The sequence below is a fragment of the Homo sapiens genome, chromosome 19 (assembly GCF_000001405.40).
Source record: "Homo sapiens chromosome 19, GRCh38.p14 Primary Assembly".
Lineage (NCBI taxonomy): Eukaryota > Metazoa > Chordata > Mammalia > Primates > Hominidae > Homo > Homo sapiens.
The window spans coordinates 39,688,154-39,704,240 of NC_000019.10; the positions used below are offsets into that span (position 1 = coordinate 39,688,154).

General features: G+C 41.8%; 1 pseudogene, besides 1 other annotated feature; it reads left to right on the forward strand.

Annotated features, from left to right (window-relative positions):
- Positions 4,564-4,713: an enhancer, noted in NCBI's record as "active region_14626". NCBI's record gives its function as "activates an Ori minimal core promoter by ATAC-STARR-seq in GM12878 lymphoblastoid cells {active_cell/tissue: GM12878}" and the evidence as "EXISTENCE:reporter gene assay evidence [ECO:0000049][PMID:35858748]".
- On the forward strand, positions 9,753-9,920 carry RPS29P27 (ribosomal protein S29 pseudogene 27; annotated as a pseudogene).

Here is a 16,087-nt window from a genome sequence, read left to right on the forward strand (position 1 = left end):
CAATCTTACCGATACTATTCAGAAAAACAGAGGAGGGACTATTACTGAACTCATTAAAAGAGGCCAGCATTATCTTGATATCAAAACCACACAAAAACCCACCAAAAAAGGAAGAGAAACCATAGGCCATAGGCCATAGGCCAATATCTCTAATAAATATTGATGCAAAAATCCTAAACAAAACACTAGCAAACCTGAAGGGGGCCTGCCCCTTCACACCTGTGGGTATTTCTCGCAAGGTGGAGATGAGAGACTGAGAAAAGGAAATAAGACACAGAGACAAAGTATAGAGGAAGAAAAGTGGGCCCAGGGGACCAGCACTCAGCAAGTGAGACCTGCACCAGCACTGGTCTCTGAGTTCCCTCAGTATTTATTGGTCACTATCTCTACAATCTTGGTGAGGGAGATGTGGCAGGACTATAGGGTAATGGTAGGGAAACCATTACCAAATCAGCAGGAAAACATATGAGCAAAGGAATCTGTGTCATAAATAAGTTTAATGAAAGGTGCTGTGCCTGGATGTGCACGTAGGCCAGATTTATGTTTAACTTTACACAAACATCTCAGAGCAGTAAAGAGTAGCAGAGCAGTATTGCTGCCAGCATGTCTCACCTCCAGCCATAGGGCGGTTTTCTCCTATCTTAGTAAATAGAATGTATGGTCAGGTTTTACACTGAGACATTGCATTCCCAGCGACGAGCAGGAGACAGATGCTTTCCTCTTATCTCAACTGCAAAGAGGCCTTCCTCTTTCACTAATCTCCCTCAGCACAGACCATTTACAGGTGTCAGGCTGGGGGACTGTAAGGTCTTTCCCTTCCCATGAGGCCATATCTCAGGCTGTCTCAGTTGGGTGAAACCTGGACAATACCCAGGCTTTCTTGGGCAGAGGTCCCTGCGGCCTTCTGCAGTGCATTGTGTCCCTGGTTAATCGAGAATGGAGAATGGTGATGACTTTTACCAGGCATACTGCCTGCAAACAAATTGTTAACAAGGCACATCCTGCACAGCCCTAAATCCATTAAATCTTGATTCAATACAGCACATGTTTCGGTGAGCACAGGGTTGTGACTAAGGTTACATATTAACAGCATCTCAAAGCAGAACAATTTTTCTTAGTGCAGATAAAAATGGAGTTTCTTATGTCTTCCTTTTTCTACATAGACACAGTAACAATCTGATCTCTCTTTCTTTGCCCCATACAAACCAAATTCAACAATACATTAGAAAGGTTGACCAGGCATGGTGGCTCATGCCTGTAATCCCAACACTTTGGGAGGCTGAGGGGAGTAATTACCTGATGTCAGGGGTTTGAAACCAGCCCGACCAACATGGCAAAACCCTGTCTCTACTAAAAATACAAAATTAGTCAGGCGCAGTGGTGAGCGCCTGTAATCCCAGCTATTTGGGAGGCTGAGGCAGAAGAATAACTTGAACCCAGAAGGCAGAGGTTGCAGTGAGCTGAGATCACACCATTGCACTCCAGCCTGGATGACAGAGCGAGACTTCTTCTCAATAAAAAAAAAAAAAAAGAAGGAAAGATCATTTATCATGTCCAAATGGGATTTATTCCTGGAATGCATGGATGGTTCAACATATGCAAATCAATTAATATGATACCTCATATCAACAGAATGAAGAACAAAAGCCATATGATCATTTTAATTGATACTGAAAAAGTGTTTGATAAAATGCAACATTTCTTCACAATAAAAACCCTAAAAAAATTCGTGATGGAAGGCCCATACCTTAAAATAATAAGCCATATATGACAGACCCACAGCTAGTGTCATACTCAATGAGGAAAACCTGAAAGCCTTTTGTCTAAGCTCTGAAACACTACAAGGATGGCCGTTTTCACACTGTCATTCAACATAGTACCAGAAGTCTTAGCTAGACCAATTTGACAAGAGAAAGAAACAAAGGGCATCCAAATTGGAAAGGAGGAAGATAACATAATCTTATATTTGGAAAAACCTAACCACTCCACAAAAAACTACTAGAACTGATAAACAAATTTGGTAAAGTTGCAGGATACAAAATCAACATATAAAAATTAGTAGCATTTCTACATGCAAACAAGGAACAATCTGAAAAAGGATTTAAAAAGCTATCTTATTTACAATAGCCACAAAGTAAATTAAGTACCCAGAAAGTTACTTAACGAAAGAATTGAAAGATATCTGAAAAAGTCTAAAAAACGAATGGAAGAAGTTGAAGAGGACACCAAAATGGAAAAAAATATTCCACGTTCATGGATTAGAAGAGTCAATTTTGTTAAAATGTCCATACTACCAAAGGTAATCTACAGATTCAATGCAATCTTTATGAAAATACCAATAACATTCTTCACAGGTGTAGAAAAACAATCCTAAAATTTATATGAAATTATAAATGACTGAGAATAGCCAAAGCCATCCTAAGCAAAAAGAACAAAACTGGAGGAATCACATTACCTGACTTCAAATTACACTACAGAGCTATAGTAACAACAACAACAAGAACAACTACAAAAAGCATGGTACTGGCATAAAAACAGAAACAGACCAATGGAACAGAATAGAGAACCCAGAAACAAATCCACACACCTACAGTGAACTCATTTTCAACAAAGGTGCCAAGAATATACACTGGGTAAAAGACAGTCTCTTCAATAAATGGCATAGGGGAAACTATGCAGAAGAGTGAACCTAGAAACCTATATCTCCTCATGTACAAAAATCAAATCAAAATGGAGTAAAGATTTCAAACTAAGATCTCAGACTATGAAAGTACTAGAAGAAAATACGGGGATAAATCTTGAGGACATTTGTTCTGGCAAAAATTTCTTGAGAAATACCCCACAAACACAGGCAAACAAAGCAAAAAAAACGAACAAATGAGATAATGTTAAGTTAAAAAACTGCCTAGCATAGGAAACAATCAAAAAGTGAAGAGAAAACCCACAGAATGGGAGAAAATATTTGCAAACTAATTGCCTGACAAAGGATTAGAATGGTTTGAATTCCTTGACAAAAAAAAAGTGAAGAGAAAAATGAAATAAGAGGGAGAAGGAAGGAAGGATGGAAGGAAATTCTAATTCACTCCACATTTGAATTCTAATATAGGTTTTAAGGATGCTTCCTTTCATCACAAAAAGAACTTGAGGAGGGGTCCTGAGTCCTCCACCCCAGGTGAAGAAGACTGCATTGTGACTCAAGTCCAATCACCTGTACCTGCACCTGTCCTCACACAGGTCTGGAACTAAGAAACAAATAACCAATAACTAGACTTAAGAATCTCAACTTTCTCCACAAATTTGCAGGAGAAAGGGTGTCTCTGAAAATTTGGATTCCCATGGACGCTCAGAGAAAAGAAAAGGGTGTGGGTGGAGCCCAGGTGTGTGAGAGGCAGATGGGAAAGACCCTCACCTGGCAAAGCCAAGGGGACCAGTGTGGGATCAGGGGGACACAAGGGCTTTCTCTACCTCCCTCCATAGGTCCTGCTTAGGATCAAGACCAGTGTTCTGTCAGAACATCTGTAGACCAAAAGAAGTGTTACCTCCCAGGGCAAATGATTTTCACCAAAATCCTCACTATTTTTACCATTGCACAGATTAGGAAAATTAGGAAATGTACATTCTGCACAGTGGAGAGAAGGCTTAATGAGAGGCATGGGGGCTGGACTTCACAACCCCTCACCCTCATCCTCACTCCATCATCCTTGTCTGTGCATTTCCCTGGTGACCCCTTCCTCCCCCTGGTGTCTTCCCCACCGTCATTTCTGCTGCATCACAGACACAGGCTTGCAAAAAAGTGTGGTTATGACTGAGTCTGTTTCTGATACCCTGGGGCTATGGTGTCTGAGACGTTGCATGTTGTCAGGTGTGGACCCTGGACCAGTGTAACCTTCTGTGAGGGTGTGATGGTGTCTGATGAGAGTGAACTCTGCTGAGATGATGTGACTTTAGGTGGGAGGTGGAGAGCCCACCAGGATGGGTGGGATGTGCCTGAGTGTAAAAGGGTGACTGTTTTGTCTTCCCGACTGTGATGTGAGTGTGTGTGTGAGCAAGGCCAGACCAATGCATGAGCATCTTTATAGGCACAGCGAGCAGGCATTTGTGACTCAGTGAGTGGGGTGACTCTGTGCGACTATGGGTGTGTGTGAGTGCTGGGATATGACTGGGTGTTGAACTGGGAACATGCATGTGGCCTTCTGTGCATGTCAAGTTTCCTCCTCACACAGCAGGGCCTCTGATGAAGCAGCTGTGCATCTTCCCATGTGTGTCAATGTGGATGCCAGGTGGCAGAACTGGTGTGAATCTTGGGGACTGTGAGTTATCAATGACTCATTTGTGAGCATTAATGAGAGCAGAAAGCATGCTCTCTAGATGCCTCTTCCCAAGCAGAGTGGGAAAGAGGAATGCAGATCATAGGAGTGATGTTTCCTCAGGTAGGTTCTGCACACAGTGACCACCATCTCCTGTCTTTCAGCCTCATGTCTCTTCCTGGCTCCCACCAAAGCCTGCCCTTCTTATTGTGGGTCTGGAGAGTTTGCAGATCCTGGCTCTCTAAGGAAGAGCATTAGAGTCTGTGGTTTCGGATACTAAATCACCCTAAACCAGGAAGGAACAAGTGTAGCCTCAGTTCAGACAGAGTTTACAGTGGATATTAATCATCAGAGTAGCTGGGTTCACTGGCTCATGCCCATAATCCCAGCACTTTGTCAAGCAAAGATGGGAAAATAACTTGAGGCCAGAGGTTTGAGACCAGCCTGGGCAATATAGTGAGATGCTGTGTTTACAAAAACTTTTAAGTATCAGACAGGCATTGTGGCAGGCCTCTTTCATCACAGCTACTCAGGAGGCCAAGGCATGAGGATCCCTTCAGCACAGGAGTTTGTGGCTTTGTGAGCTATTGGTGCACCACTGCATGTCAGCCTGGGTGACAGAGTGAGATCATGTTTCAAAAAGGAAGAAAAATTATACACTTGTAGGTTCTCTCTAATTACTTCCCTGACCCACACTTTTCATTTGTCCAAGTGCTGGAGCTGTGTCCTCAAGATTTTTACAACTTCTGGGAAGGACGTCCATTGCCCTTGATGACTGTGATGCACGTGCATCCCACACACAGGGGTTTTCTGTTCTTTTTCAATTTCCCTCTCTCTTTCAACAAGTGTTGCTTCTTACTGGAGTGAATTTCTCTGCTGTTACATCCTCAAGTCTAGTTTTCACAGTTTCAGAGTTGAAATTGATCTCAGGTCAATATTCCACAAGGACCCAATCCATAGTGTTAGGTCACCCCCAACAAGCCCTGTACATGCCAGGGATTAGGCTAAAGATTTTACACGTATTAACTTCTGTCACTAAAATCACCCTACAAAGTAAGAATTTCTAATAAAGACAAAAAAGTAAAAAGTAAAGAAAGCAAAGAAAAATAAGAGTTTTAAATAATCCTCCTGGTACCTGGGAAACTAAGGTAGGCAGCATTCAAGTAATAGATCTAAGATGGCACTTCCAGTAAGAGGCAGAATCAGGAGTGGAATCCAGGCAGCCTGACTCCTGAATCCTTGTTCCTAACTATGGGACCCTCATGTCTTCAGGAATATGGAGTCCTGACTGTGATAGGGTGAAAAAGAGAAGTCCTCACTGTTTGCCTGTTGATTTCTAACCTTCTGCATCATGGGAATCTGTTAGAAAAGGGGAGGCCACACCTGGCCGGGCCCCTCTCACCCACTCTCAGTCCCCTAGCAGGTGCCCCACACAATGCCTGTGTCCTTGTCCATTGGTTCTACCATGACAATCAGAGGGACACCGATCCTCCCTTTTTTGTGAGTACTCCATGGTCCATGGCACGGGGGTGGAAAAGAAGGGAGAATATTTACTCAGGAAGTGGCCTCATGTGAGTGATGTGGAAATGTCTAGTTGGCATGATAAAGGCACCAATTAAGTTGCAGGTCCTGGAGACCCTCCAGCACCAGGCATGAAACCTGCAGTGGTTGCACTTTGGGCCAGTCATGTGGCCTAGGGGAGGAGGACACTCAGGGATTGGGGGTGTGGCTCATTATCAAGGGGCATAGACTTTTCAAAGAATGGACAAGTAATAGCTCAGGTCAGTGACTGTGGCTCAGTTTCCATCTTGTGATGAGTGACAGAGCATGTCCCCACCTGGGGGAATGAGGTGCTAAAACAGCCCCACAGAAACCAGTCCTGCAGTATCACCAGGGAGCCTGCTTTCTTCTTTGGGGAAAGGGGGGAAGGGATGTGTGTGTGTTGAGTGTGTGCCCCACGAGGGGGAGGGGCTTGCCCAACACTCTGTGTGCTTTGCCCTCAGCAATGACCCAGAGCTGCGGGTGGAATTCTACACTGGGACAAATGAGGACTCAGACATCGCCTTCCATTTCTGAGTGCACTTTGGCCATTGTCTGGCCATTGACAGCCATGTGTGTAGGGCCTGGAAGTGTGAGGGGAGATGCCACAATGTGCCCTTTTAGGATGGCAAGCCATTTGATCTGAGCATCTTGGTGCTGGACAATGAATACCAGGTGAGTGCCCTAGGAGCTCCCAGTACCCAGCCCTCCATGGGCTCCCAGAGCAGGAGGCAGCTCTCCCTGGCTTGGCCCCAATAGTCCCTCTGGACCCACCTCCCATAACTAGTTTTGCTTTGGGCTTTTCATCAAAACGCTCTGCTTGCGCCATCATCCTCAGCTCTTTTCCCAAATCTGACCAGGGTCAATATCAGCTCACCTCGCATTTCCCCCAAGGTGGAGAATCTCCTCTATCTTTTCCCATTGTGGTCACTTCCACTTTATGCTGTTATTTAAATTTTTCACTTCGCTGAATGAATACAATATTCCTAAAAATAAAATTGTTTTAGTCAATCAAAAATTAAGTCTATCTCATTCCTGGACCCAATCTTACTCCTGAGAACATTACCAGTGCTCTGTTCTCCTTCCACAGGAAATCTTTGCTTATGGAAGCATATAGATCTATACTTTCATTTGTTTTTAAGAAATTCCTAGTATACATTGCTTTACACATTACCCTTTAGGAACTGAGTTAATTTGTTGTTAAAAATATATATCTTGAAGACATCTTCTATTAATGGTGCTGCCTCAATTTTTAAAGATTGCATAATGTTGCATTAGAGCAATTACCCAAAATTATTGACCTTGACTCTTTTGATGGGCATTGAGGTTATTTCCAATATTTTGCTCTCACAGATGGTGCTGTAATAAGATTTCTAGTAAATTCTTTTGTCATTATCCACCTCTCTTACTTATGATGAAAAATAATCAGAAAGAAATGAAATAACAGGTTCAAAAATGTGTGCATTTTAAATTTAACAAATTGACACCTAGAAGGTTACTTTACAGCCTTAGTAATAAAGAATATGTCCAAATGTTCTGGCTCTTTCTAATGTGTAGGGCAAACGCCAAAAGATTCACATTTTATTCAGATTCAAGTGAGGGATCTTTATCTGTGCTTAGAAGCTGTTTAAAATGATATCTTATGTTTTGCAACACTTGTCCGATTCTACCTTTCCAAAAACACTTGAAATCTATTCTTGGCCACCACCAGCCCAGATCTAGGTAACTCCAAAGAGAAACTGGGCCATCAGCGTGAGTGGCAGTCAGAGTTCATAAAACTGAAAGATATGCATTCAACGAATATAGTCTAGCATTAATCCTGTGTGGACTCCTGTACAAGATGCAGGGATTCAAGCTCATGAAACAGAGTCACTATCTATGGGGGTTTTCCAGGCTAGAGGGGAGGCTGAGCAAACATAGACCAGCCTTGCTGGAAGTATGAGAGGAAAAATTAGAAATAAAGCAAACAACTGTCTCAAATAGGTACAAAAGTTGATCTGCAAACAGAAGTGTGTGTTTTGAGTTCAGTTATATAACTAGGAGTTTTCTCACGGGATGTTGTAGGTACTAGGACAGAGTAAAGAGGAGGCTGAAAGCTTGTTTGGTGGCATACTGTCTTTCTAATGCATTTTTCCTTTTGTAGGTAATAATAAATAGCCAACACTGTTGCAGCTTTGTCCATAACTCCCACCATGTTCTGTGAAGATGGTGCAAGTGTGGAGAGATGTCTCCCTGACCTCAATGTCTGTCTGCAGTTGATGCAGATGATCACACTCCTCATTGTTGAGGAATCCCTCTTTCTATGTGACCATAGGATTTCCAGAGCCTACTAACAGCATGATCTCTCCTCACTGTTTCTGCTACACTTGGTCATTAAAACATCACCAAACTACCGAGGATTTGTTTGGTTCTTGCTTTAAGGGAGAAAGAGAAAGTGGTCATTCCCAGGAGGGCCCAAGGAATTCTATGAGAGGCATCAAGAAATCAAAAAGGATAAGCCTTCGTGTGACTTCAGGAGTGAGTGACAAGGTCCCTGGAATGTCTGAGAAGACATTAGGTACAGCATCCTTCTATATCACATTGTTGACATCAGAGACTCTGAAACAAAATCCTTACTCAATCTCAGATGACTCACTGCACTGAAATGTTAGGTAGCTGTTTACAGCCACACAAGTGTACCTCAGGGAAGAAATTTGGTAACTTGAGGACAATCTGGTGGAATTTCCTAATTCCTTCCATTGTTCTCAGGATATTTATTGTGTATAAACATGGTGCTTTGGTCTGTAAAGACTGCCATGCAGGACCTTTAAAAAGAGACACATTTCTGACATGAAAATTTTAATCCAAACAATAGTTAGAGAATCACAGGAGCCCAAAAATTTCTCTTAAAGAACCTCAAATGTTGATGTTTAAAGATAATTGTGAGTTTTTTCTGATGTATGTGGCAGAATCCTTAGATTTCTATTTGGAAACAAATGGTCATGGTTTAAGTCCAGAAAATATGTAGTTTATTGTTGGGATGGACAGAATTCATACACATGGACACAGTGAGCAGACCTTGCTTTGCTGCTGTTTCACTAGGCATTGCAGCACAGCAAACCTCCCAACACATGTTGGCTTAGAGCAATCATTTATTCTGACCTTTCTCAGTTAACTGGACTCATGTGAGAGGTAGGTCATGTGGTGAGAATCATGTTTTCCGAAGCATCTTTCAGGCTGGGATTCCAGAGGATGCTTCACTGATGCCTGACCCAACACTAGAGCTGGGTGAACATCTGGGGGCTGGCTGGTTATTTTATTCCCTACTTCACCTCCCCATTCATGCCTTGAATTTTCTCAAATCATGAGAGTCTCATGATTCTTAGACTTAATGAATGATAATTGGCTTCCACTAAAGAAAGCCTTCCAAAAGGCTCAGGAAGAAGGTGCAAGGCATCATAGGACCTAGCTTTGAAAGGCACACAGTATCAGTACTGTGACATTATATTGATCAAAGTGAGCTATACAGACAGCCCAAATCAAAGGGTGGGGATTCCATAAGCTGTGGTTATTTTGACCTGTTGTCATGAGGGAGCATTTTTGGCAACTATTCCCACTCATTCCTCAGTGGCTTAAATGCTTTCCACATTCCAAAAACACTATCCTGTAAGGAACCACTGAATGCAATATGATTACAGAAACAGGCTCAGATTGAAGTTTAGAGTCTTATCGTTTAATCAGGATCTGGTGTCCATGAGGTGACTACAAATTATCAGGTGCACTTTCTCTCAACATATGCATTAAATGAATACATTACCTCCCCTATACAAATCAAACATACAAGACTGAAACAGATATAGGAAAATGCAGTGGACACATCTATTTTAGAAGGGCAAAAAATAATAAACAGCACCCTGAAAGCAAGATGGTCACCAATAGCTCTACTGGAGCTACCCACGAAAATTCAGCCAGGGTTCTCACTCTTGTTACATCTGCTCAAACCAGCATGGCCTTATCCAAAAATACTGTCTTGATGTGTGCCGCTTGTGTTTCCATAAGTACTTAAAGGATATATTTTTCATTAAGTTGGACTAAGTGATCTTCCTTGAATTGATATGCAAGACTTACATCCAATGAAAGAAACTGTGCTAGCACATTAAACATGAATAGAGATTAAAACAAAGAAACAAATAAAAACAAACAAGAACAAAAAAGAAAATAGGCAGCAGTCACTCGTCCACATTATTGGACCCTATTTTCATCTTCTCTGAAAGTGGTTCCCTGTGACAATTGGCTCCACCATCTATTGTCAGTTTCTTGGAACTCCTACCAAGATGACACAATGACAGCCCTTTTCTCGATACAGGAGCTGTGGTCACCTGGTTCATAGAACAAAAAGAGAACCACTTAGAAGATAAACAGCAAATTACCTAAAAGCCAAACAATGCAGATTGAAGAGGGTCTCATCAAATAGCCTCTTTGTCAGCAGGGCCCATATCAGGTGGCATTTTGATCATCCTCATCCTGTCTTCCCATGTTTATTGCCGCAGCTTGTTCAACAGCAACCTTACTCATAGATATGCCTCTCTCCTTTCCCTCCTTTAACCTAACATCCAGTTACCTTGAGGTGTCAATGCACAGTAAATAATACATTCATGCCTCTCTTTTTTGTTTCTTTCCAGTATAAGCTGAAATTTTCTCCCCTCTCACTGGAAAGTCTCAGGTTCTTGTTAGGTATACTCACCTCCTTGTATCATCCCACTCACAGTTTTGGTCACTTCTCTATTTTGATGATGGAGCATAGGCCTCCTCACCAGCATGGAAGTCATTTTTGGGCAATTAGGCAATTCTTGCTCAGAGTGGATTAAGACTATCTTGGAACCCATAACCCATGAAGTTTTTTTTTTTTTTGAGATGGAGTTTCACTCTTGTTGCCCAGGCTAGAGTGCAGTGGTGTGATCTCGGGTCACTGCAACCTCCACCTTCCAGTTTCAAGCAATTCTCCTGCCTCAACCTCCCAAGTAGCTGGGATTAGAGGCATCTGTCACCATGTCCGCCTAATTTTTGTATTTTTAGTAGAGAAGGGGTTTCACCATGTTGGCCAGGTTAGTCTCGAATTACTGACCTCAGGTGATACACCCACCTCGGCTTCCCAAAGTGCCGGGATTACAGGCGTGAGCCACTGCGCCTGGCCAGAACCCATGAATTTCTGAGCAGAACATGAGTTTAATTTCATATCTATATGTCCCTGGATGATTCCAATTGTATTTGAATAACCTACAGGGTCCTACATGCTGCCTGTGCTAGACAAACACACAGTGACTGCCTTTTCTTAACTGATATTCACCAGCTCAGTTCAGTTCACATAGGCCATTTGTTACACTCATCTTTATACTACCTACTATCCTGTGCTCATGGTAGCCAGGAGTGATGTCTCAGATAAAAAGATAACACATAGAGACCAGGAAGCAATGTTCAACAAGCAAGTTTTGATTTGCCTCTGGGGACCTACTCAACATCTTTTTCATGCTCCTCAACCTAAATTCACTAAATACAGCATTCCCACTAAATATAGCATTGCTCAAAACACAGAAGGTTATTCTTGGACTCTAAAGCCTTGCCTTCTGAAAGGTCTGGAGGGCTTTTCAGTTTTTGCTGAAAGCCCCCAAAGAATAAATCTAGTCTTTGAAAATGTCCTTGATGCCTAAGTCCACCAAAGCTGTTTCCTCTGGGGTGCTGTCCGTGATGCTGAGCACTGGTGCTTCTAGGCCTGTATTTGCAAGTGAGGGGCTAATAAAACAGAATTAGGAGATAAATTTTTTGTTTTGTTTTGTATTTGATAAATTGCAGCTCAAAATATGCATGATATATGGAGCAGGAAATGAATTTGGATTTTCAAACCACAATTTCTGCAATGCCTTCTATCACCACTTTTATTCAGCATAGTATTTGAAGTACCAGCCAGAGAGTTCAGCAAGAGAAAGAAACAAATGGCATCCAAATAGAGAACAAGGTTAAACCATCCATGTTTAGAGATATGATTCTATATCTGGAAAACCTCACAGTTTCCACCCAAACGATCGTTAAGCTGGTAAACAACTTTCGCAAAGTTTCAGCATACAAAATCAATGTGCAAAAATCACTAGAATTCCTACATGCCAAAGACAACGAACCACAGGGCCAAATCAAGAATGCAATTCCATTCACAATTTCCATAAAAAGAATAGAATATCTAGGAATACAACTAACTGGGAGGTGAAAGATTGTTACAATGAGAATTACAAAACACTGCTTAAAAAAGTAGAGAAGACCCAAACAAATGGAAAAACATTCCATGCTCACAGATAGCAAGAATAACTATCATTAAAACAACCACATTGCCCAAAGAAATGTACAGATTCAATGGTATTCCTATTGAACTATCAATAACATTCTTCACAGAATTAGAACAATCTATTTTAAAATGAATATTTTAAATATTAATTGAACCGAGTGGGTTGAATAAAAGATATTCCAAAGCAAAAAGAACAAAGCTAGAAGCATCACATTACCCAACTTCAAGCTGCACTATAGGGCCAGAGTAACCTAACAGCATAGTACTTGCATAAAAACAGACACATAGACCAATGGAACAGAAAAGAGAGGCAAGAAGTAAGGTCCCACACCTACAGCAATCTGATCTTTGACAAAGTTGACCAAACAAGCAATGGAAATAATTTTTGGATAACTAGCTAGCCACGTGCAGATGATTGAACCTGAACCACTTTCTTGCGTTATATAGAAAAATCAACTGAAGATGGGTTAAAGACTTAAATGTAAAACCCAAAACTATAAAAACCCTGGAAGTCTACCTAGGCAGTACCATACCGAATGTAGAAATAGGCAAAAGATTCCTGACAAAGATGCCAAAAGCAATCACAAGAAAAGCAAAAATTGACAAATGGATCTATTTAAACTAAAGAGCTTCTGCACAGCAACAGAACCTATCAACAGAGTCAACTGACAACCTACAGAATAGGAGAAAATATTTGCAAATTATGTATCTGAAAATTGTCTAATATCTAGCTTCTATAAGGAACTTTAACAACTTTACAAGAAAAGAACAAACAACCCCATAAAAAAGTGGGCAAAGGGCTGGGTGCAGTGGCTCACGCTTGTAATTCCAGCACTTTGGGTGGCTAAGGTAGGTGGATTGCTTGAGTCCAGAAGTTCAAGACCAGCTTTGGCAACACGGCAAAACCCTATCTCTATGAAAAATAGAAAAATTAGCTGAGTCTTGTCTCAGGCACCTGTAATCTCAGGGACTCAGGAAGGTGAGCTGGGAGGATCGCCTGAGCCCAGGCAGAGGTTGCAGTGAGACGAGATTTCACCACTGCACTTCAGCCTGGGTGTCAGACCAGGCTGTCTCAAAAAAAGTAGACAAAGAACAGGAACAGATACTTCTTAAAAGAAGACATACATGTGGCCAACGAGCATATGAAAAGAAGCTCAACAGCCCTGAACGTTAGAAAAATGCAAATCAAAACCACCATGGGATACCATCTCTCACCAGTCAGAATGGCTAGTATTCAAAAGTCAAAAAATAACAGAAACTGGCAAGTTTGTGAAGAAAAGGGAACACTTACACATTTTTGGTGGCAGTGTAAATTAGTTTAATCATTGTGGAAAGAAATGTGATGGTTCCTCGAATGGCTAAAATAGAACTACCATTCAACCCAGCTATCCCATCACTGAGTATATACCCAGAAGAATATAAATCATTCTACCATAAAAACGTGCACATGAATGTTTATTACAACAGTATGCACAATAGCAAAAACATGGACTCAACCTAATAGCTCATAAAGGACAGACTGGATAGAGAAAATGTGGTACATATACACCATAGAATACTATGCAGCCTCAAAAAAGAATGAGATTATGACTTTTGCAGGAACATGGATGGAGTTGGAGGTCATTAACCTTAGTGAACCAATGTGGAAATGAAAAACAAAATACTGCATGTTCTCACTTAGAAGTGTGAGCTAAATGATGAGGCCCATGGATACCAAGAGGGAAACAACACACACTGAGACCTACTTAAGGGTGGAGGGTAAAAGGTGAGACAGGAGCAGAAAAAATAACTATTGGGTACTAGGCTTAGTACCTGGATGTGAAATAATCTTTACCGCAAACCCCATGACACGAGTTTCCCTGCATATGTACCCCTGAACATAAAATAAACGTTTAAAAAACAAAGAAAAAAACCAATGTCACCTTTCTTCTGGAATCTGCAGGAGAAACAGTGTCTCTGAAACTTTGATTCACATGGACATCAAGAGAAAGGAGAGAGTATTGCTAGAGTCCAGGTGTGGGACAGACAGATGAGAGCAGCCCTCACCTGGTAGAGCCAAAGGGCTTAGCATGGGGCAGGTTCATGCAAGGACGTTCTCTACCTCCCCCCCGGATCATCCTGAGGATCAAGGGCAGTGCTGTCCCAGAATCTTTAAAGGCAAAAAGAACAATTTAAAGGCAGAATGTATGATCTGTAGGTGTCTCTTTCCAATAAGTGTGGGGAAGAGGAATACAGACTACGGGGGTACTGGTCCCTTAGGTGAGGTCTGCACAGCTGGTATGCAGTACCAGCTACTCAGGATACTGAGCTGGGAGGATCACCTGAGCCCAGGAGCCAGAGGTTGCAGTGAGCCAAGATGGAGCCACACCACTCCAGCCTGAATGTCAGAGTGAGACCTGTCTTAAAACAACAACAAAAGGCGAGAAAAGACAAGAACAGAGAACAGATACTTTTCTTTTCTTTTCTTTTCTTTTTTTTTTGAGATGAAGTCTCACTCTGTCCCCCAGGCTGGAATGCAGTGGCATGATCTTGGCTCACTGCAAGCTCTCCCTCCCGCATTCATGCCATTCTCCTGCCTCAGCCTCCTGAGTAGCTGGGACTATAGGCGCCCGCCACCGGCCCGGCTAATATTTTGTATTTTTAGTAGAGACAGGGGACGCTTCTCAAAAGTACACATACAGGTGGCCAACAAGTATATAATAAAAGCTCAATATCACTGAACATTAGAGAAATGCAAATCAAAACTACAATGAGATACCATCTCACACCAGTCAGAATGGCTCTTCTTAAAAAGTCAAAAAAGGACAGATGCTGGCAAGGGTGTGGAGAAAAAGGAGCACTTACAGATTATTGGCGGTGGTGTAAATTAGCTCACCCATTGTGGAAAGCAGTGTGGTGATTCCTCAAAGAGCTTATAACAGAACTACCATTAAACCCCGCAATCCCATTACTGGGAATGGTGTATACACTACTGTATACACAGAAGAATAGAAATTATTCTGCCTTAAAGACATATGCATATGAATGTTCATTGCAACACTGTGCACAATAGCAAAGACACAGAATGAACCCAAATGCCATCAAGGACAGATTGGATACAGATAATGTGATACATATACACAATGGAATACTATGAAGCCCTAAAAAAGAATGAGTTCATGTCTTTTGCAGGAACATGGATGGAGCTGGAGGCCATTATTTTTAGCAAACTAATGCAGGAACAGAAAACCAAATACTGCATGTTCTCACTTATAATTGTGAACTAAATGATGAGACTCATGGACACCAATAGGGGAACAACACACACAGAAGCCTACTTGAGGTTGGAGGGTGAAAGGTGAGATAGGAGCAGAGAAAATAACTATTGGGTACTACGCTTAGTACCCAGGTGAAGAAATCATATGTACCACAAACCTCATGACATGACTTTATCTGCATATGTACCCCTGAACCTATAATAAAAGTAAAAAAAAAGAAAAAAGAAAAAAAATCTCATCTTTCTCCCAGAATCTGCAGGAGAAACAATATCTCTGAAACTTTGTTTTACATGGACTCCAAGACAAAGCAGAGAATGCAGCTAGAGCCCAGGTATGTGACAGACAGATGAGAGTGACCCTCACCTGGCAGATCCAAGGGGCCTAGTGTGAGGCAGGTTCATGCAAGAACTATCTCTACTTCTCTTCCCAGATCCTCCTGAGGATCAAGGTCAAAAGGATCTGACCCTTAAAGGCCCTCCCAGAACCTTTAAAGGCAAAGAGAAGAATTACCTTCTAGGTCTAACGTCTTTTTCCAAAATTCCCAATTTTTTATTTTTAGTCATTGTACAAATTGAGGAAATGTACACCTTCTGGCTAGATTCTGCATACTGGAGAAAAAGCTTGAGAGGCACAAAGGCTGGGCTTTACAATCCCTACCCCTCACTCCATCA